This window comes from Homo sapiens, chromosome 7, assembly GCF_000001405.40.
Source record: "Homo sapiens chromosome 7, GRCh38.p14 Primary Assembly".
Classification (NCBI taxonomy): Eukaryota; Metazoa; Chordata; class Mammalia; order Primates; family Hominidae; genus Homo; species Homo sapiens.
In genome coordinates this window covers 33090806-33110679 of record NC_000007.14, presented here as the reverse complement: position 1 = coordinate 33110679, position 19874 = coordinate 33090806, and the positions used below count along the sequence as shown (strand labels likewise).

Genomic DNA, 19874 nt, shown 5'->3' with positions numbered 1-19874 from the left:
TAAAAAACTTTAAAAAGTTAAAAAGAATTTTGGAAAGAGCAGTATCACATAGAAAATTAATGAGACTGTATCATCGAGGAGAGCCATGTCCTAAAAGAAAAAAAAAAAAGCTATTCATCATGATGCAAGACTTCAAAATATGTTAATCATCATAAAAGTTGGGCAGTTCATGTGGACAATCGCCATGCAATTGCCCATAATCTATCCCTGCAATACACTTTTTCTATGTTGAATTTTCTTTTTAGTTTGCTTTCGTTTTTCTATTTTCTCTTTTAGCTTTTTCATTATTGTAAATTGTCAGCATTATGTTTTACAATTCACTATGCTATGTATTACATCTTAACATCATTTCTAATACTGGAGGCATCAACTATATAAAGACTTTTAGAGAGTTCAAATTTGTTTTATGCATTTTTTGCAAATATGACTCAATCAAAGCTCATTATTACAATGGTGACTGTGTAAGCATTCTACATATATGCAAAAATGTAGAAATTTCCTCGATAAATAAATAAGTGTCTTTTCTGTACATCTGCATTTGTGAAAGATGAAATTTCTCAGGATCTTGGCTCCTCGGGTGACTGGCACAGTGGTGACGTCATGGTGACCCATCCTGTCAAAAGAGTTAGGTTGTCTCTCATGGTATATCAGATGACCGCAGTTATAAAGCTGGGTGCACACTATTACCGAACATAATTATATGTTTATACATTTCACTTTTTGAACACTTTTTTTTTTTTTTTTCTGAGAGACAATCTCGCTTTTTCGCCCAGACTGGAGTGCAGGGGCACCATCTCGGCTCACTGCAACCTCTGCCTCCTGGGTTCAAGCAATTCTCCTGCCTCAGCCACCCAAGTAGCTGGGACTACTGGCGCCCGCCACCACGCCTGGCTAATTTGAACATTTTTTTATGAATACATTTCATCTGCTCATCCCTATGTGACTGTTGCTAGTATACCTGAGGTGGGTGTGGCCGGGCGGGAACCTCCAGGCTCCCAACTAGCGCCTCGCCCCGCTTCGGCTCCAGCTAGGCGGCGCTCCCCACCCACCCGCAGCAGCCCGCCTGGCGGCTGGGCCCGAGACCCGGAGCCCCTGACTTGGGGCCCGACGCGGGGAGGCGGGGATCGGGTGGCCGAGGCTGAGACTTCGGGGCCGCCGGGGTGAGTTGCGGGGCGGCGGCGGGAGGGGGCGCTGCGAAGCCCCGCGACCGCCGCGCGGAGGAAGTGCTCTCTTGGCTGCCGCCGCCGCCGCCGCCGCCGCCGGAGCCGCGCCGCGGGGGTTGCCCGAGCGGCGCTGCGGGGGCTGACATGTCGTCCCGGCCTGGGCGCGAGGACGTGGGGGCTGCGGGCGCGCGGCGGCCGCGTGAGCCGCCGGAGCAGGAGCTGCAGCGACGTCGGGAGCAGAAGCGGCGGCGACACGACGCGCAGCAGCTGCAGCAGCTCAAGCACCTGGAGTCCTTGTGAGTCCCGAGCTGCCGTCCGCGCGCGGCCAGTCTTCTGAAGCCAGGGGCCCGGGGCGCGGGACGCCGCGGTGGGCGCTAGGCCGGGTCCTCCGAGCCCCCGCGAGCAGGCAGGGGGGCTGGGCCCGGCAGGAGCCTGGTGCGGGCGACCGATGTCGGGCGCCGCGGTCAAGGACTTGAAGTCCATCCTCCTGGCGGGGCGTTCAGGGAGCCAACTGCCGCTCGGCACCAAGCAGAATCTGACTTGGGAGGCCCTGCGCTTCCCTAGCTCCAGGGGGTTCCAGGAGAGTCCAAATGACCCGGGAGAGTGTGGTGTAAAGAAGATTCAAATGTAGGGGAAGGAAATATGGTTTCCCTCTACCCTTCTAAGTTCTTAAGCTGGGCCACAAATTAAATTGTCATAAGACAGATTAACAGGAGAAAAACTTTTAATTATGTACCCGTGCACTAGAGGGCCACAAAAGTGGGAGACAAAGAAGGGCCAGGGAATAGGGGCGTGGGCCTTTTGGGGCGTGGTGGAGACCTTTTGGAAGGGTGATGGGGGAAATGTATGGTGAATAAAGGTTGCTTTGTTATCCCGATGAGGCGCTCAGGCGATAAAAGTTGCCCCCAAGCAGCTGTCTTCCTGATACAGATACATTTACTACAGAAAATTTCCTTTATAGGTGTAAATTTCTGTTTACAACAGGCGAGTCGAAAAATAATAAGAACAAAAGGAAAAAAAGCAGTCATACTTTATTTTAGGCAGTTGAGGGGTAGCTGAATAAGTTATCCTGTGTTGTTTGGTTCTGTTACTTATAGCTCAAAGTCATCAATATGCCAGGGTGGCATGTTTGGGGATGGTGCATTCTTGTCTTTTGCAGTCATTTATCAGGGTGGCGTTTCCTAAATTCTAACACAGACCTCGAGTGGAAAGTTCAGGCAGCAACTCTTTCAGTTCTTGTCCGTGATTCTATAATTAGCTGCATAAAACAACCTTTTCTAAGTGTGGCATTCACTCAGTTATTCAAGAATTCGTTTCTGTTTTAGCCACTTCTAGTTACCTGTGCTAAGTAGGTGTTAAGTATAGCCTAACGCTGCCTCCTTGAATATTTTAAGTTTAGCCTAAAAGTTTCTCTGTACTTAGTGAACTGTAACCTAAGTAGATGTGTAAACAGACTGTAACCTACTGTTATAAGTACCTGAGTCTCAGACAATCACAGCAGCTGATTTTCAGGCCGTCACAGGTGGTCAGCCTTTGAAACCCTGTTCAAAGAAGGCAAACGCCAGGCTGTATGGAATCCAGCTATTTCTCTACCTCATTTGCTTTTCTGTACATCACTTTCCTTTTCCTGTCCATAAATGTTATCCCACCAGGTGGCAGCCTGAGAATTGCTCTGGACCTATTCTGGTTATGGGGGTGCCCTCTTTGAAAACAGTTCTTTGCTCAAGTAGAGTTTAATTTGTCTACTTTTAAAAAACATAATTCATATAAGAAAAGTTCCTCAAAGAATTAAAATCCTTTTTATAATTAACCTTCTGGGAGGTTTGATGTGAGATAAATTCCTATGTTGGGACCTGGCCTGCTCTTTTTCCAGTGTGGCCCGCTCTGAACGACTTTTCCCCTTAGCAGGGCAGGGGATGCAGGATAGAGACCCTGCATTGTGGGCATCCATGTTACAGGGCAGTCCTGGCCCTTTCAAGTCACTGTGTGGCGCTCTTGGTCTCCCAGGGAAGTCAGGTGTTCAAAGATCTTCCCCTAGCGTAAGCATCAGAATGCCTGGCCCTGCCCAGCCCTCAATATATTTAGCTATAGAATGCTAGAGGATGGTTAATTCCACTTATTTGTAGCTCAGAGAGCTTTTTCACAGATGAGAGAGATTATAACCTACTTTTACAGATGAAAAAATGGAGGAACAGTGGTTAAGTCATGTGATCAAGCATACATTGACCAGTTAGTTAACCAGCAAATCTAGAGCTGAACCCAGGTGTCTGATTGACTGGTGGGATTTTTCCAGTTTCTGAGATTTAAAACTGAATGAGCCGTTGAGACATTTGCTTTGGCCAGTTCAGAATCTTGTTTGAGCTTTAAATTGTATTTATACCACAGTAATATGTAGTTTTAAAATTCAAATAGTACTAAAAGTGCTACCAAAAAATAGCAATAGGCTGCCCAACTCCTCAGTAACCACTCATATTCCCTGTGTCCCTCTTCCCCCTCCCAAACCAGGCTTCTCTGTGTAAACTTTTAGGTTTTACTTCTGGGATTTAACTGTTTGGTTTTTGTTTTTTTTTTTTGAGATGGAGTCTCGCTCTGTCACCCAGGCTGGAGTGCAGTGGTGCAATCTTGGCTCACTGCAGCCTCCACTTCCTGGGTTCAAGCGATTCTCCTGTCTCTGCCTCCCAAGTACCTGGGACTACAGGTGTGCATCACCATGCCCAGCTAATTTTTATATTTTTAGTAGAGATGGGGCTTCACCATGTTGGCCAGGATGGTCTCGATCTCTTGACATAGTGGTCTGCCCACCTCAGCCTCCCAAAGTGCTGGGATTATAGGCGTGAGCCGCTGCGCCCACCAACTGTATATTCCTAAATTGTATATTTATACTGTTTACATCAATTCAACATCTTAGACATACCTCTTAACTTCTTGTCACAGTAAGGATTTAGTTCTTTACCTACCCTTCTTGTTTCCAATCTTCCAGTATAGTTCCATCATAGCAATTTTTGCTAAACGAATGCTTAGTATTAACATTATTATAACTAGGCTGGGCTCTGTGGCTCACGCCTATAATCCCAGCATTTTGGGAGGTAGAGGTGGGAAGATCGCTTGAGGCCAGAAGTTCTAGACCAGCCTGGGCAGCATTTATAGACCTTATCTCTGCAAGAAAGAAGGAAAAAAGAAATTAACCAGGCATGGTGGTACATGCCTGTGGTTCCAGCTACTTGGGAGGCTGAAGTGGGAAGATCTGCTTGAGCCTGGGAGGTTGAGGCTGCAGTAAGCCATGGCTGCACTCCAGGACTCCAGCCTGGGCAACAGAGTGATATCCTGTCTCAAAAACAAACAAACAAAAAAAAAACAGCAATATAACTATGAATTATTACTCACTTTGAGCCAGGTAGTGTACTCTGATTTATTTTGCTTTCTATACTATTGTTAACTTTTAAGTAGTTAATAAGAGCCTTTGTTTTTCACTTACTTAATTTTCTACTGCTGTTTTTCCCCCAATGTCTCCAAAATCTGAGTACCATAAAGGTGAAAAGGTATCTTTCCTTACCTATCATAGGAGTCACAGCAGATACTCCTATAACAAAAAATAGGTCAACAAGAAAAAAGCATAACAAATGTATTTAATCAAAGTTTTATGTGACATGGGAACGTTGACAAAGGAAGACCCAGAGACCCAGAGGAAACTATTTTTATGCTTAGTTTGGATGAAGAATGTATAGCAGTGTAGAAATATGATTAGACAAAAAAGGGTATAATACAGTGGTCATAGGGAAAATCCAGCAAGCCCTGTCTATTCAGATTTTTCAGGCCTCTCTGTGTACGATTACTTCCTCCCAGATATGGGGCAGGACCCTTTCTGGAATGAGGGGTCCTGATCTATCAAACAAGGTAGGTCAGCTCATGTTTTTATGGCCACCTCTGACACAGAAAGGCAAGGAAATGTTAGGGTAATATTTGTAGGAGTTTATTATTATTATTTTAAATATTTTTTTAAAAGTTCCACTGAGATTTTATCTTCTTTAAAAAAAAAATTAAAGTTATTTGTAGGGCTTCTGGCTTGCTTTGTGGGAGACTTGTTCTAGTTTTTATGGCCCACTTGTGGAAAAGAGGAATTCTGGCCTCTCTGACTGCTTTGGGGAAGAAAGAAGGGCAGGAGACAGGAGGGCAAGAGAAGGTCAGAGAGCAACTGTCTTCTGAGGCCTTCTCTAATCTCATTTAGTTCAAAGTACTCAGCATGCCAAAGCACCATACTTTGGGGTATCATTTTCTGAGCCCCAATAGTACTTTTTCCACACATAACTACATATCAGGTAGTCAGTTCATTTTTTACCTAGACTCTTCAATCTGTTGTCCTTCAGTACACTGGTTACTTTTTAGACCTGGTCCAGCAGTGGTCCTAGGGCATCCTTTCCCACTCTCCTATCTTGCATCTCATTCCTGGATTCCATGTCTTCCTCTTTATAAGTTTACTCTCACATTTTACCAAAGCCAATTCTGCAACTTCCTATGAAAGAGTGCATTGGAGGTAAAGTTTTTGACACCTTGCATATCTGAAGATGTCTTTATTCTATCCTAAAACTTGGTACATAATTTGACTAGGTATAAAATTACAGGTCAAAAATCATTTTGGGGCTGGGCATGCTGGCTCACACCTGTAATCCCAACACTTTGGGAGGCCAAGGCAGGAGAATCATTTGAAGCCAAGAGTTCAAGACCAGCCTGGGCAACAATGTGAGACCCTGTCTCTACAAAAAATTTAAAAATTAGCCAGGCACAATGATATGGACCTGTAGTCCCAGCTACTCCAGAGGCTGAGGCAGGAGGAAAATAGTAACAACAATTTTCACTCAGTTTTGGCGATAGTACATCACTATCTTCTAGCTTCCAAAACTGCTAAGGAGTTTGATGCCATTCTGAGTCCCTTTCTTTTATAAGTTACCTGTTCAAGTTCACCTCACCCTTAAACGTTAAGAAACTATTCTTTATTGCTGCCATCCTGAAGTTTCATGATAATGTTAGTCTTTTCCAATTGACTTTTTTTTTTTTAACTTTTATTTTAGGTTTAGGGGTACCTGTGTAGGTTTGTTATACAGGTAAACTCATGTCATGGGGATTTGTTGTACAGATTATTTCATCACCCAGGTACAAAGCCTAGTACCCAAGAGTTATTTTTTCTGATGCTCACCCTCCGCCTGCCCTCCACCCTCAAGTGGGCCCCAGTGTGTGTTGTTCCCCAGTTTGTGCAGTTGACTCTTTTTTTCTTGACATGTCATGAATGCATTAACTACATATATAAATTTATGTCTTATTTCCTCTCCCCAATTTTGTTTTTTCCTTCTGTTGATTTTCTGTTGCTCTATCTCTTCTGTCTTTGTATTTTCATTGTACTTTGTAGATGTATCTTTTTCTCTACTAAACATATTTGTTATATTTCTAAATCAAAAAGCTTTTTCTCATTCTGCAAGTTGTTTTTTATATTATCCTGTTCTTGTTTCATAAGTGAAATATCTTCACTCATCTATGAGGATACTCACTCGTTTTTCTTTTTTGTTGTCTTTTGTTCCCTACATTGCCTCTATTTCTTGTTTGCTTTTTATTTTGATTGCTGTCTTACATTTAGTAATTTTTTTTTCTCTAATATCTGGGTATTCTTGAATCTCAACCATATTTTGTTTTGTTTTGTGTTTTTTAGAGACAAGCTCTCGTTCTGTCACCCAGGCTGGAGCACAGTGGCACGATTATAACTCACTACAGCCTCGACTTCCTGGGCTCAAGTGATCCCCCCTGAATCAGCCTACAGAGTAGCTGGGACTGCAGGTGCACACCATGACACCTAGCTAGTTTTTTTACACTTTTTTTTTTAGAGATGGAATCTTACTATGTTGCCCAGGCTGGTCGCGAACTCCTGGCTTCAAGGAATCCTCTCACTTAAGCCTCCCAAAGTGCTGGGATTACAGGCATGAGCCGCTGCTCTGGCCTCAACTCATTTAAGAGTAGGCGCTATACAGCTCTTGTCAAGGGCAGCTGTGTGTGGGAGAGAAAAAAGAGAGAAGGTGTTGTTTGTTGATCAGATAGCTTCATGATAGGGCGCTCATGCTGCAGGGTACCCTTTTTATCAAGAGACTTCCAAATGTCAGTAGTTGGAGATTTTTTTCTGGGGCTCCTAAGTTCCTCTAGAGAAGGGTCTTGAGTCCTCTGCCTGGGGGCCAGGGATCTCTGCCTGGCTGCCAGTGTTGCTGAATTGGAGAGGCTAACCCTGCAGCCTCCTTCAAGTGTTGGGCAGGCAGCCTCCTGGCTATAGGAAGGAAGCCTCATCTTCTGAAAAGTGTTACTTCTTCCACCCCAGGAAATCCATTGCTATTTCCACTTTCCCAAATTTGTTGAAAACTTCCTCTGATGTTGCCTCCTTTTGGGATATCTTTATGGCCTTTTTATTTTTTCACTGTCATTTTTAAAGCATCTGGGGAAGGAGATAGATAAGCATGTTGGTCAGTTGGCCATGTTAAATGGGAAGCCCCACAGTGCTCTTTTATAAATTGAATTCAAATCTTTTCATCCCTGATGTGATGGAGTCTCCTGAGTCTCCACCACAGTTTTCCCTCGGTGACCCTGCCTGCCAGGCCCCTGAGGGCATCCGAGGCTTCCACCTGCTCCAACACTCTCTGTCACTTAATAGCTCCTGGGCTGCCAGGCATAACAGAGTGGACCTTCTGGGTGTATGTGGCAGTTTCACCTCTGCCACGCAGCCCCTTGGATGCAGCTGCAGGAACAATTGTGTGGAATGGAGTACACTTGCATTAGGGACTCTTCTCAAAGAAAACCCATCTCAACAGTCAACAGAAAGAGTAATTTGAAACACTTAACAAAAGATTTCTTACTCTGTACACACTTGAGAAGACAGCGTGTCTCAGACATAACTGGTCTTCTTCCTACTCAGAGAAAGTTAGTACAGTCTGAATGACTAAGTAAGGCTTTTCAGATGGCACAAAATAATGCATCTCAATCAACTTTTTTTTATCTTGAGAATTAACTGCAGCTGGACACGGTGGATCATGTATACAATCCCAGTACTTTGGGAGGCCAAGACAGGAGGATTGCTTGAACCCAGGAGTTCAAGGCTGCAGTGAGCTGTGATCACGCCACTGCACTCCAGCTTGGGTGACAGTGACTGCAAAGATAAATGCATACCTCTTAACTGTCACACTGTAGAACCTAAACTGTGCGTGAACATACTTCAGTTTTCTAATCTGTATTTAGTAGTTAAATACTACTTTCAGAAATATATTTTTGAGTATACTACATTAATGAATTGTTCAGCCCCGGGAAACAACATGAACCACCCTTCTTTAAACTTGTGAAACCACTTGTAAAATGGACTTTGGGAATGCCATTGCTGATAATATTATATTTCCAAATGTGCAATTGCATCACACTCATTTTCATCTTGGCAAGAACAGTTACTTTTTTTTGAGAATTTGGATCTCAATTCGATTGGCCATATATTTTTTGTATAATGCTTGTGGCTCAAAAGGATTCATTTATTGGATTTTTGGATTTATAGACTTTACTGTCAAGCTCCTTCTAGTCTCTATGCATAAGGTATAGCATTAATGTTTCTAATGAATGGCTACAGATAAACTATCATCTTCACAAGTTGTGCAGATTTCCATTGTTTTTGCTCCATTAGGCCTATGTCATGCCACAGCTTTTTGTTAGAAATATTTTAAGCACCTACTTTGGGAAAACACTGTACCACACTTACAAAGCTAATCCTGTTAATACACAGTTGTTTACTATTTAATCTTGAGGGAACAGATCTGGGATTAGTAGTATTTCTCATCCATTGTCCATCAAGTTGCTTTCTCCCACATCTTATAGAAGGGGAGAATGAATTTTTTTTTTTTTTTTTAAGACAGAGTCTCACTCTGTCTCCCAGGCTGGAGTGCAATGGTGCGATCTCAGCTCACTGCAACTTCTGCCTCCCAGGTTCAAGCAATTCTTCTGCCTCAGCCTCCTGAGTAGCTGGGATTACAGGCACCCGCCACCACGCCCAGCTAATTTTTGTATTTTTAGTAGAGACGGGGTTTCACCATGTTGGCCAAGCTAGTCTCGAATTCCTGACCTCAAGTGATCTGCCCGCCTCAGCCTCCCAAAGTGCTGGGATTACAGGCGCGAGCCACCACGCCTGGCCAAATGAAAATTTTTTCACTTTTCCCTTTGTCTATTCTTGACTCCCTTTTCCAATATTCATTGTCTTCTAAAGGGTCCCTTAAACTATGCATAAGACGAGAGTCCGAATGAAGAAAACATTAAATCATTAAGTGTTTCTCTATGTTGCAGCCATTCTGAAGTATTAAAATAAGAGAGCCAGGTGTCATGGTGCCATGGTACACAACTGTAGTCCCAGCTACTCAGGAGGCTGAGGTGGGAGGATTGCTTGAGGCCAGGGGTTTGAGACCAGCCTAGGCAACACGACAAGACCCTGTCTCAAAAAAAAAAAAAATACTTCCCTAAAGGTTTAAAGGGTCAAGGGACAGACCTGAGCTAAAAATATTTGCATATTACTCTTTTGGGAGGAGGTACAAATTGCTTTAGGAGCCTGAGAGTTGCTCTTTGAGTGCACAAACACCTCGCCTTCAGAATTTCCTTCCCATCTTGCTGCCTGTCCCATCTGGAGACTTGCGTGCTCAGCATTCTGGGTCTCCTCTGGGTTCAGTCCCTGGATGGAAATAAGGAAGGCCTGGCCAGTCTTAGATGGCAGGTGCCGCTCAGCACAGGGAGGAGAAGCATTCTGCTCTTCTCAGGTGATTGCTTGTCTGCAAACCAGTGATAAAAGCTTATTGTTGCTAAAATCTCTGATTAAAAATCCTATAGCCCCTTTTTTGCAGTAACTTGATGTGTTATGTTTACATTAACATGGTTGATAAGGTTTTGTTTTTTGTTTTCCAGTTACGAAAAACCTCCTCCTGGGCTTATCAAGGTTAGTGTGAAGTTTGTACTCTTGGTTATTCCACAAGACATACTTGTAGACTCAGTAACTTGTTATGAAAAATAATTGCATGATGTTAAATCTCCTTTTACCAAAAGCCTGTTTCTTTTCCTGCAGATGAATGAGGGGTCATAATTTTTAGTTTTGTCACAAGCCTCTGCCTTTGCAGAAATTTCATCAGCCATGTTTCCCTTCCCTGAAGAACCAGTGCAGGCCCACGTGGATTCCTTGGCCATGCCCCTCTTCTCTCTTGCTGGGGATGGCATCTCTAAGCTCCTTTTCCTTGTCGGCCTCACCCGGCTCAGCCCCTCGGTCCATCCTCTGCTGGTTTCTTGAGCTCAGCAGCTCAGAGAGCAGTAAACTCTGAGGAGATCTGACAGCTATCCAGTCCCGCTCCCTGGTACAGGCATCCCTCCTGCAGCTCCCTGGCCAAGGTGCCAGGGTGTGTGTGCACGAGGGAGACTTAGAGTGGCAGGCCACGGCCAAGAAAACTTGCTGTTTCATAACTCTCAGCGAAGAAATATTCTTTAAAAACATGAGTCTATTGTAAATTTAATATTCATAGAAACTTGAAAAAAATCCAAAAGTTTGAAAACACATTAATTGTAAATGCAGTTATTGAGTGGTAAAAATGTACATCAGAGATATAGCATGTGTGTGACTGTAAAACATGACAGGGCCTTCAGGGTATAATAAACTATTCTAGCATAACAGGCCATTTCTATTATTCCAGGAAGCCTGGTTTACTTTAATTCTATATTTTGAGGTAGTGAAACTTTTTTTTTTTAATCTCAGAATCTTATTTGGAGCTCCCCAGTCATTGCTATATAAGGACAGATTTTTCTGCTTCACCAGTAACTTTTCTCTAAGAACAGCTACATTGTTTTTGGTATAGTTCTTCTGGTACATTTGTTTCCTGTTTTTTCAATCAGGTGTAACTTGTCTTTTTTTCTAGTTTTGAGGGGTAACTAAGATGATGTTGGCACCGGAAGCCCAGGAAAAAGCCAGGCAAGGGTGGCTCCAAGGGGAGCAGGAGAGAATCCCAGCGCTCTTGCCATGCTGTTTATACCTGTTCCCTTTTTTAGGAAGATGAGACTAAGCCAGAAGATTGCATACCAGATGTACCAGGCAATGAACACGCCAGGGAATTTCTGGCTCATGCACCAACTAAAGGACTTTGGATGCCACTGGGGAAAGAAGTCAAAGTTATGCAGTGTGAGTGTGGGAGAGTTTCCCTAATCCATGCAACTTACATGCCTCAATTTACAAAGAGTGTTTACTTCTTTTATTTAACTTGTTCTCATCACAGCCCTCTTACAGCCAAGGCACGTTCTCCATCTTCTAGATAAGGAAGCATCCACCCCACCCCCCACCACCGTGCCATGTGAAGAAGAAAGAGGGCTGTCATCTTAAGCCAGGAAGAAAGCTCTCACCACAAACCCACCTTGCTGGGACCCTGATCTCAGATTTCCAACCTACAGAATGAATGAGAAAACCAGTTTCTGTTGTTTAGGCCACCCAGAATACGGCATTTTGTTATGTCAGCCCGAGCTGACTAAGACACCATCTTTCTGCAGGTCCCCTTAGCCTCTCTCCCGTGTTGGATCACCCATTTTCCTGTGTCTTGAGTCTTCTTTATTATCATATTCTCTCCTTATGGTGTAACAAATCCTATGGCTGTTACCTTCAAAATGGGTTTATAGAAGATAAAAATGTTAAGACCTTTACTTTTCTGGAATCGTCTTTAACAGATTTTTAACTACCAGGATATTGAATTCTAATTTAAAAATCAGTTTCCTTGAGAATTTTGATGGGAATGCTTCATTGCCTTGATTATTTGTTAAAAGCAAAGACAACGTGCCTCAGAGTTCAGTATCTATCGGTTTTTCTTCTTTGGGTGGGTTATATTTTCCCAGAGAAGGCTCCCACGTGGAGGGAAAGCCATACTATGAGTGTTCTGGGAGCCGAGTGGAGGGAGTCTGGAAATGTGTCCATCTGCTTTTCATTCATTCGTGTGACCCTTTGTGGCTATTGCAGCAGCTTCCTTCAGACCTACCTGATGTCTCCCTGGTCTCCCTGGCCAGAGACCCTCTGTTTTACCTTTTCCACACATTAAACAACCTTCTACCAGGGTCAGGAAAACAGGGTCTCACTCTGTCACCCGGGCTGGAGTGCAGTGGTGTGATCACAACTTACTGCAGCCTCAACCTCCCAGAATCAGGTGATCTCACATCAGCCTCTGAGATAGCTGGGACTACAGGCATGCGCCACCAGGCTTAGCTAATTTTTTTGTACTTTTGTAGAGATAGGGTTTCACCATGTTGCCTAAGCTAGTCTCGAACTCCTGGCCTCAAGCGATCTACCCGCCTCTGCCTCCCAAAGTGCTAGGATTACAGGTAGGAGCCACTGTGCCCAGCCACCATTAATATTCTAAGAGAACTTGTGATTTTATTTACTTAAAAGTGAGAGTTTTGAACAGACTCAACCTGAGAAAGAAGCTTTTATAGTGTCTAAAATAGTAAATGAGAAGCAGAGATACTTTATGAAAACATTTACTCTGAAAAATATACTGAAACACACTTTAAAAAAAATGTACCTTTTGGGCCGGGCGTGGTGGCTCACGCCTGTAATCCCAGCACTTTGGGAGGCTGAGGCGGGCGGATCACCTGAGGTCAGGAGTTGAAGACCAGCCTGGGCAACATGGCAAAACCCCATCTCTGCTAAAAATACAAAAATTAGCTGGGTGTGGTGGTACGCACCTGTAATCCCAGCTACCCAGGAGGCTGAAATAGAAGAATATCTTGAACCCAGGAGGCAGAGGTTGCAGTGAGCTGAGATCACGCCACTGCACTCCAGCCTGAGCGACAGAGCAGGACTCCATCTCAAAAAAAAAAATTCACCTTTTGAAGTAATTCTCCATTGGATTGCTTCATAAATACTTGGTGATAGAATATTATTCCTAAAGGTATAAGACTAAAGGATGCTTGGGGAAGCAATTAGTTTACCTCTGTTTCTGGGATCTTACATGGCTTGTCCATAATTATATTTTGTTTTAGAATTAGAGTTTAATGAAGAAAAACTTGAATATATTCTGCTGATTCTTTATCTTGAGTAGGTGAAACTGTTATCTTACAGAAATATTTCTCTTTTCGTTTTTAGGTTGGCGTTGCAAACGCTATGGTCACCGAACGGGTGACAAAGAATGCCCTTTCTTTATCAAAGGCAACCAAAAGTTAGAGCAGTTCAGAGTGGTAAGTAAAGTCCAAGAGTGTCAATTTACATTTATCAGAGATAGTGAAAATCAGTGAAGCAGAAAGTCACCAGTGAACTTGAATGGTCACATAAAATACATTCCCAGAAGCCCTTTGACCAAAGTGTGTGCTGTTAACTACATGCTTATTAAATTACATTTGTATGACAAATTAGCTCTTTTACAAAAAAAAGGAATTCTTATTAAAGTGATCTTTGTTTGTAACTTGGAACAGTGATTTTTTTTCTGAAACAGACATTGTTATCTATTCAACCGCACTTTTTAAAATTTACTGTGTAAAAAAGTCATGTTTCATGACTGAAATCAGGGATTTAATTTCCCGGTCTTTAAAGAGTACATGTCTTTAAACTGTAAGATTAAAGTGTCCGTATATTTTTTCTTTAGATGACAGTTATTCCCTGTATTTTTCTTTGTTTTTGAGGTGGCAGTGTTATAGCTCTGTGATTGCTCCTGCAGAGCAGGGCTACCCCAAAGACAGTGTGCTGAGAGTAGCCATTTCCTGTATTTTTCTAATTGGAAAATCCATTTTTTAGCCTTAATGAGTTTTCAGTGATGTGACCTAGAACATGTTGAACATGCAGCTACATCAAACAGTAAAAAAAAAAATAAACTGGTTTTCATAACATAGGCATTTCATTGTATTTAACTTGTGATCCATGAAGCCTAACCAAACCTTAACCTTCTCTGACCCTTAAGGCACATGAAGATCCCATGTATGACATCATACGAGACAATAAACGACATGAAAAGGACGTAAGGTGAGGTCGTCCTGATGATAACAATATCCCCTTAAAGTTTTAAAATTATATAAAGTTGGAGAAAACCACTCTAGTGTTAGAGGAATGGTGCAGTAAACATGGTACTTCAATTGTGAAAATATGTGGAGTGCAGGAGTCATGGCTGAAAAGGCCAGTGTTGGGGAATGAGCAGGCCAGCCTCCTCCTCCTTGGGTTAACTTAAAGCCATGGGCTTGGTCCAGCTCTCTGGCCACTGCAGTTGATGTTGGCAACCCATGTTGTGCTGTCTACTTGTACAGTATAATTGATATTTTCATGTGATTCAGTTTATCTTCTCCAGAGTCTTTAGGGATGTGAGCTTTTGTTAAAAATTATACTTAGGCCAGGCTCAGTGGCTCACACCTGTAATCCTAACACTTTGGGAGGCCGAGGCCAGCGGATCGCTGAAGTCCAGGCGTTTGAGACCAGCCTGGGCCATACAGCAAAACCCCATCTTTACAAAAAAATATAAAAAGTAGCCAAGTATGGCAGCACGCACCTGTAGTTCCAGCCACTCGGGAGGATGAGGTGGGAGGATCTACTTGACCCCAGTAGGTTGAGGCTGCAGTAAGCCATGATTGCACCACTGCACTCCAGCCTAGGTGACAGAGGAAGACCCTGTCTCTAAAAAAAAAAGAAAAAAATTAGACATGATTAGAGAGAGGTGGAAAAAATTGGAGGGTTTGTTTTTTCAAATTGGTGGCATTATAACTGTTAAAGATGTAGATTAAGAAATTGAGCAGTAGGGGAATGGTTTAGTAAAGTATGCGTCTGTTAGAAATTACAATTGTAAGGACTGTGGAAACATGCAGAAATGTCTAGGACAATAAAAAGAATACAAAGTGGCTTGTACACTGGTTTCAGTCACGTAAAGTAGGCATTCAGGTGGAGAAGAATGAGAAAACAGGTAAAAATAAAAATACTGTCTTTGTGACATGGTTATTCATCATCCTATACTGCTTTTGAATGACATATTTATCTAAGCAACTGTTGTAAGTTAAAGCTAAAACTCACTGTTCTTTGATCAATTTTGAATGTTTAGGATACAGCAGTTAAAACAGTTACTGGAGGATTCTACCTCAGATGAAGATAGGAGCAGCTCCAGTTCCTCTGAAGGTAAAGAGAAACACAAGAAAAAGAAGAAGAAAGAAAAGCATAAGAAAAGGAAGAAAGAAAAGAAAAAGAAGAAAAAACGGAAGCACAAATCTTCCAAGTCAAATGAGGGTTCTGACTCAGAGTGACAAGGATGTGACTTGTTCAACATTCTCTTCTCAAACACTGACCAAGGAACAGAGGAAGATGCAGTCAGAGAAAGCAGCAGGATAGAGACGCCGAGAGAGGAGTATATGTGGGTCACAGCAGTGAGCTCCCACCCGCCTTGCAGTGAAGATGTGACCCCAGGAGAGGGAGTGTCTCCTTCCAGGTGCTAGCTCTGGACAGCAGCTGATTTTAGGCAGGAAAGTTTCTTCATCGTTGTCCTCCCTGCTGGTCACATGAGTTTACGATTCCTTTGAAGTGTCTCCCACAGGGTGGCAGGACTGGGAGAATCTCTGAGGCGTGTCTTCCAGGCCCTCCCACAGCTTGTGCCCTCCACAGTGTGGACTCAGGTCCCATAGACATCAGGCTGGAGTCTTCTCTGTTGTTGAGAATAATAAAAGCTCATTATTTATTTTTTAAATGGAATGTATTTATTTATGAATAATACATAAGTACAAATAATACCTAATACAAATTTAAAAGGTACATAATATTTAATCATGAAAACTCTACTTTCTTCCTTTCCACTCCAGTTACCTTCCCCAATGTCTACCAGTGGTACTAGTTTCTTGTGAATATTTTATATATCACAAGTAAGTACAGGGCTTTTCTTAGCAAATGCTATCCACATTCACTCACACATAGTTACATTTTAAACTTAGAAGTATGAACCTTACAGTGGTCAGTATCTGAGGGGGTTGGATCCAGGACCAACTCCCTCAATCCCTCACAGATACCAAAATCCGTGGATGCCCAAGTCCCTTATATTAAATGGCGTGCTATTTGCCTGTTCCCTACACACATCTTCCCATATACTTTAATTCATCTGTAGATCACTTCTAACACCTAATACAATGTAAATAGTTGTTATAATGTATTGTTTAGGGAATAAGGGCAAGAAAGAGAGTCTGCACATGTTCCATAGAGACAGAACCATCCATTTATTTTTTTGAATATTTTCTATCTGTAGTTTGATGAATTCACGAATGTAGAACCTGCTGATAGGGTGGGCCCACTGTTTTTATATATCAAGTACATTTGGCTTTACTGCCATATCAGCAGTGTGCATTTATATTTACCCGACATGGTTTGTTGATTTGGGGGCTAGGGAGTTCTTAAAACAATGAAAAACCTTGTATGGCTGCATTCTAATTCTCTTGCTTTCTACTGCCAAAGTCCCACAATTTTCACAGAGTGACTCAGAAAAAGTTTAAGAATATACAGGGATTTCCATACTGGGTCAGGTACCCACATCCCAAAATCTCTCTCCCTTTCTTCCTCTTCCTGTTGCCTGACCACAGCCCACACATGCTCCTGTAGCTGAGACTAGGCCACAGTAGAGGCATCTCAGGAGGCCAAGGTGTTCCTGCAGCTAGAGGAGAGGAAGTCCATCGTTTGCTGAGCCAAAGTGAAGCTGGATCTTGCTCATAGGCAAGCGTGTCCCTCTGTGGCCAACACTGGTCTCTTGCTGCTTTAGGCACTCAGTCAGGGTCCCAGAAACTCACTCCCATTTTCTGCCACTTTTCCTGGGGTTTGGATTCCCTCCTTTTTAAGGAACAGCCAAGCCAGGCCCAGACTGACCCTTCTCCAACTCTCATCAGTCAATGCTACTATTCTTGGCCTTGGAATACAACCTCACGAACACAATCAAGAATGGGATGGCCAGGACTTACTATTTCTGAAAACTGTAAGTCCAGTGATTCAGCCTTGCCTTACACTTACCCTTGTCATGCAGAACACAGGCCATCTGTCCTCTGCCATATGCTCAGCATTTCCCACCCAGGTAGAGCTGGTCCTCTTCTTCCAGGAATTGGCTACTGTCCCTCCGCAATCCCATTCATGATAAAAAGCATTCTTACACAACACGAGAAATGCTGCATCAATAATTCTCAAGCCTTCGAGGCATCCAAATCAACTAAAGATGCAGATTCCTGTGCTCCATTCAAAAACTACCAGAATTTTCCATTTCCTAGGTCTGGGGTGAACCTGGGAATCTGCCTTGCTAACAAGTGATGTGGACACTGTTGGTTCAGGAACCCCACTTGGAGAACCTGTGCTCTAGATCTCTACCCTCTTACTGAAGCGTTCTTCCACTTCCTGCTTTAACTGGAATCCAGCCGTCCACCCCTGCAGCCCTTGCAAGTAAATTGCTATCCCTTCTCTCTCACTGGTTTTCTCTGTCTTGTCTGTTTCTGGCCTAGATTCTGGGGAACATCACTTCAGCCTGTCATCTCCTCTGACCTGTCATCCTTTTGTCCAGCTTTCCCAAAAGAAACTTCAATTAAAATCTTTCACTTCTGCTTGTATATACAGACTACACGGGGAAAACACATGCCCATGTGGATTGATGTCCCCACAAATTCATTATCTCCAAACTCAAATTTAAGAACTGACCCCAGCATGCTGACTAGCAAACCAAAAGCTTGTTAGTCATCTATTTAAACCTTCATTCTCAGGCATTTCCTTCAGGTTCTGCATTTTCTACTCCTATCCAGGAAGACAATATCAGCCCTCAGACCTCCCCTTACTAATGCATCCTACCATCTCACCATCATGGTGTGCAAGTTAGGCAAAATTCTAAAATGACCCATGATCTCTCCCCCTAATCTTCAGTACTGTTAATAGGATGCATTTTACTCCTGTGACTGGATTATGTTACAAGCACAAGGAGAGGGAGACCATCTGGGTGTTCCTAACCAAATCATGAGAGCCGTATGGAACTCCAGAGTGGTCTATGGCTAATAATCAAAGAGAAAGTAAGAGAGTCCAAGCCTGTGAAAGATTCCACACATCATCACTGGCCTTAAAGTTGAATGGGCCCACATGGTGAGGGATGCAGCAGACTCTCATCAAAGGTTCCTGACTAACAGCCAGCAAGGAAATGGAGCTCTCAGTCCTACAGCCGAAAGTAAATGAATTCTGCCACCCTCAATGATTCTGGATGCATATTCTTCCCCAGAGCCTCCAGATGGAAGCCCACCTCTATTGACACCTTGGGTTGGGGCTTCTGAGATGCAAAGTCGAGAGCCCAGTTGAGCCTGCTCAGGCTTCTGACCTACACCACCGTGAGGTAATCAATGATGGTGGTTTTGAGCTTTTACGTTTGTGGGAAAGTGTTAATACAGCAACAAACTGATTCAGAGGTTTAATGAGCTTTCCCTCCTCCTCTCAGGCCAGTCCATCACCTGTGCTCTGGATCCCACCATCAGCCAGCAGTAGGGGGCAGTGGCTGGAGCACTGGCCCTGCATCCAGACTGCCTGGCTTTGAGTCCCAGCTTTGCTAGCTGTGGAGTTGCTCCATCTCTCTGTGCCTCCATGTCCTTGACTGATCATATCCACCTCCTAGACTCCTCGTGAGAATGAGGGTACTTGATATGCGTAAAGCATTTAGAGCAGGGTGTAGCATATCTCAACTCTGAATGTTACCTGCTCCTGCTGCTACTGGTACTGCTGTCACCATCATCTGTTCCTTGGGGAGCTTCCTCCTTTATCCCATGTCACTCACGTCTTGAAACTCTTCCTTTCTGTTGTGATCTTGCCACTAGTATTTAAAAACTTTTAAAATTGTAAAATACATGCTCATAAAGAATTCACAATTCTGAGCCATTCAAGAATAAAAAGTGAAAGAGGAGTCTACTTATGATGCTTTGATACAGCACTCCAGATCCTGATCAAAATGCATCAGCAAACAGACGTACAGGAAAGGTTTTGAATTGTTAGTTTCACATAACTGATAAACACCAGGAATGCTGTTCTGTGACTCCATTTCACTCTATGTTGGTAATCTTACTGCTCACTACAAGCTTCAGGTGGCTACAAAATTCCTCAGTTTGAATGTGCCATGATTCATTTAACCGTTAATCTACTTATCACAATTCATTTGTCTCCTATTTCTCATTCCTACAAATAAGACTGAAAAGAAAATCTTGGGTAAATATCTCAGTGTACATGTGCAAGTATTTCAATAGAATAGTTTCATAATGAGGCAACTGCGTATTTTAATTGTTACAGATACTACTAAATGAGTCAATGCTGTGGTTTGATTATGTCTCCCAGAATTCCTGCGTTGGAAACTTAACTCCCAATGCAAAAATATTAAGAGGTGGGGCCTTAAAGAAATGATTATGGCATGAGAGCTCTGTCCTAACAAATGGCTTAGTGCTATTATCTCGTGAGTGGGTTACTTATCTCTAGTGGGCTTGTTATAAAGTGGCCCTGTGTTCCACATGCTCACAATTCCATGTTTTCTCTATTTTTTTTTTTTGATACGGAGTCTCCCTCTGTCAACCAGGCTGGAATGCAGTGGCGCGATCTCGGCTCACTGCAACCTCCACCTCCCGGGTTCAAGCAATTCTCCTGCCTCAGCCCCCTGAGTAGCCGGGATTACAGGCGTGCACCACCACGCCTGGCTA

The 19874-nt window shown here is 43.2% G+C and overlaps 1 protein-coding gene and 1 long non-coding RNA gene across 5 annotated transcripts in view, besides 2 other annotated features; one reads left to right on the top strand and one right to left on the bottom strand.

Annotated features, from left to right (window-relative positions):
• Positions 901 to 1380: a silencer, noted in NCBI's record as "silent region_18090". NCBI's record gives its function as "represses an Ori minimal core promoter by ATAC-STARR-seq in GM12878 lymphoblastoid cells {active_cell/tissue: GM12878}" and the evidence as "EXISTENCE:reporter gene assay evidence [ECO:0000049][PMID:35858748]".
• RP9 (RP9 pre-mRNA splicing factor) lies at positions 1276 to 15883 on the top strand. Of its 2 annotated transcripts, none has more exons than NM_203288.2 (6): positions 1276 to 1459; positions 10119 to 10149; positions 11244 to 11373; positions 13318 to 13409; positions 14126 to 14187; positions 15248 to 15883. In NM_203288.2, the coding sequence occupies exons 1-6, from the start codon at positions 1308 to 1310 to the stop codon at positions 15444 to 15446; spliced, it is 666 nt and encodes a 221-aa protein (NP_976033.1). In that variant the 5' UTR covers positions 1276 to 1307; the 3' UTR covers positions 15447 to 15883. The 2 variants fall into 2 exon arrangements, with proteins under 2 accessions (NP_976033.1, XP_011513770.1); XM_011515468.4 differs by lacking the exon at positions 1276 to 1459 and adding an exon at positions 9779 to 9973.
• Positions 1391 to 1620: a silencer, noted in NCBI's record as "silent region_18089". NCBI's record gives its function as "represses an Ori minimal core promoter by ATAC-STARR-seq in GM12878 lymphoblastoid cells {active_cell/tissue: GM12878}" and the evidence as "EXISTENCE:reporter gene assay evidence [ECO:0000049][PMID:35858748]".
• LOC124901610 (uncharacterized) overlaps positions 15281 to 19874 on the bottom strand; it is a 32215-nt gene continuing 27621 nt past the window's right edge. Inside the window, exons 4-5 of one of the 3 annotated variants that reach the window (XR_007060277.1) lie at positions 18889 to 19017; positions 15281 to 15841 (exon numbers count right to left, since the gene is read on the bottom strand). This is a non-coding gene — a long non-coding RNA (uncharacterized LOC124901610). The remainder of the gene's footprint in view (positions 15842 to 18888; positions 19018 to 19874) is intronic. The other 2 variants (XR_007060278.1, XR_007060279.1) reach the window with 2 other exon arrangements.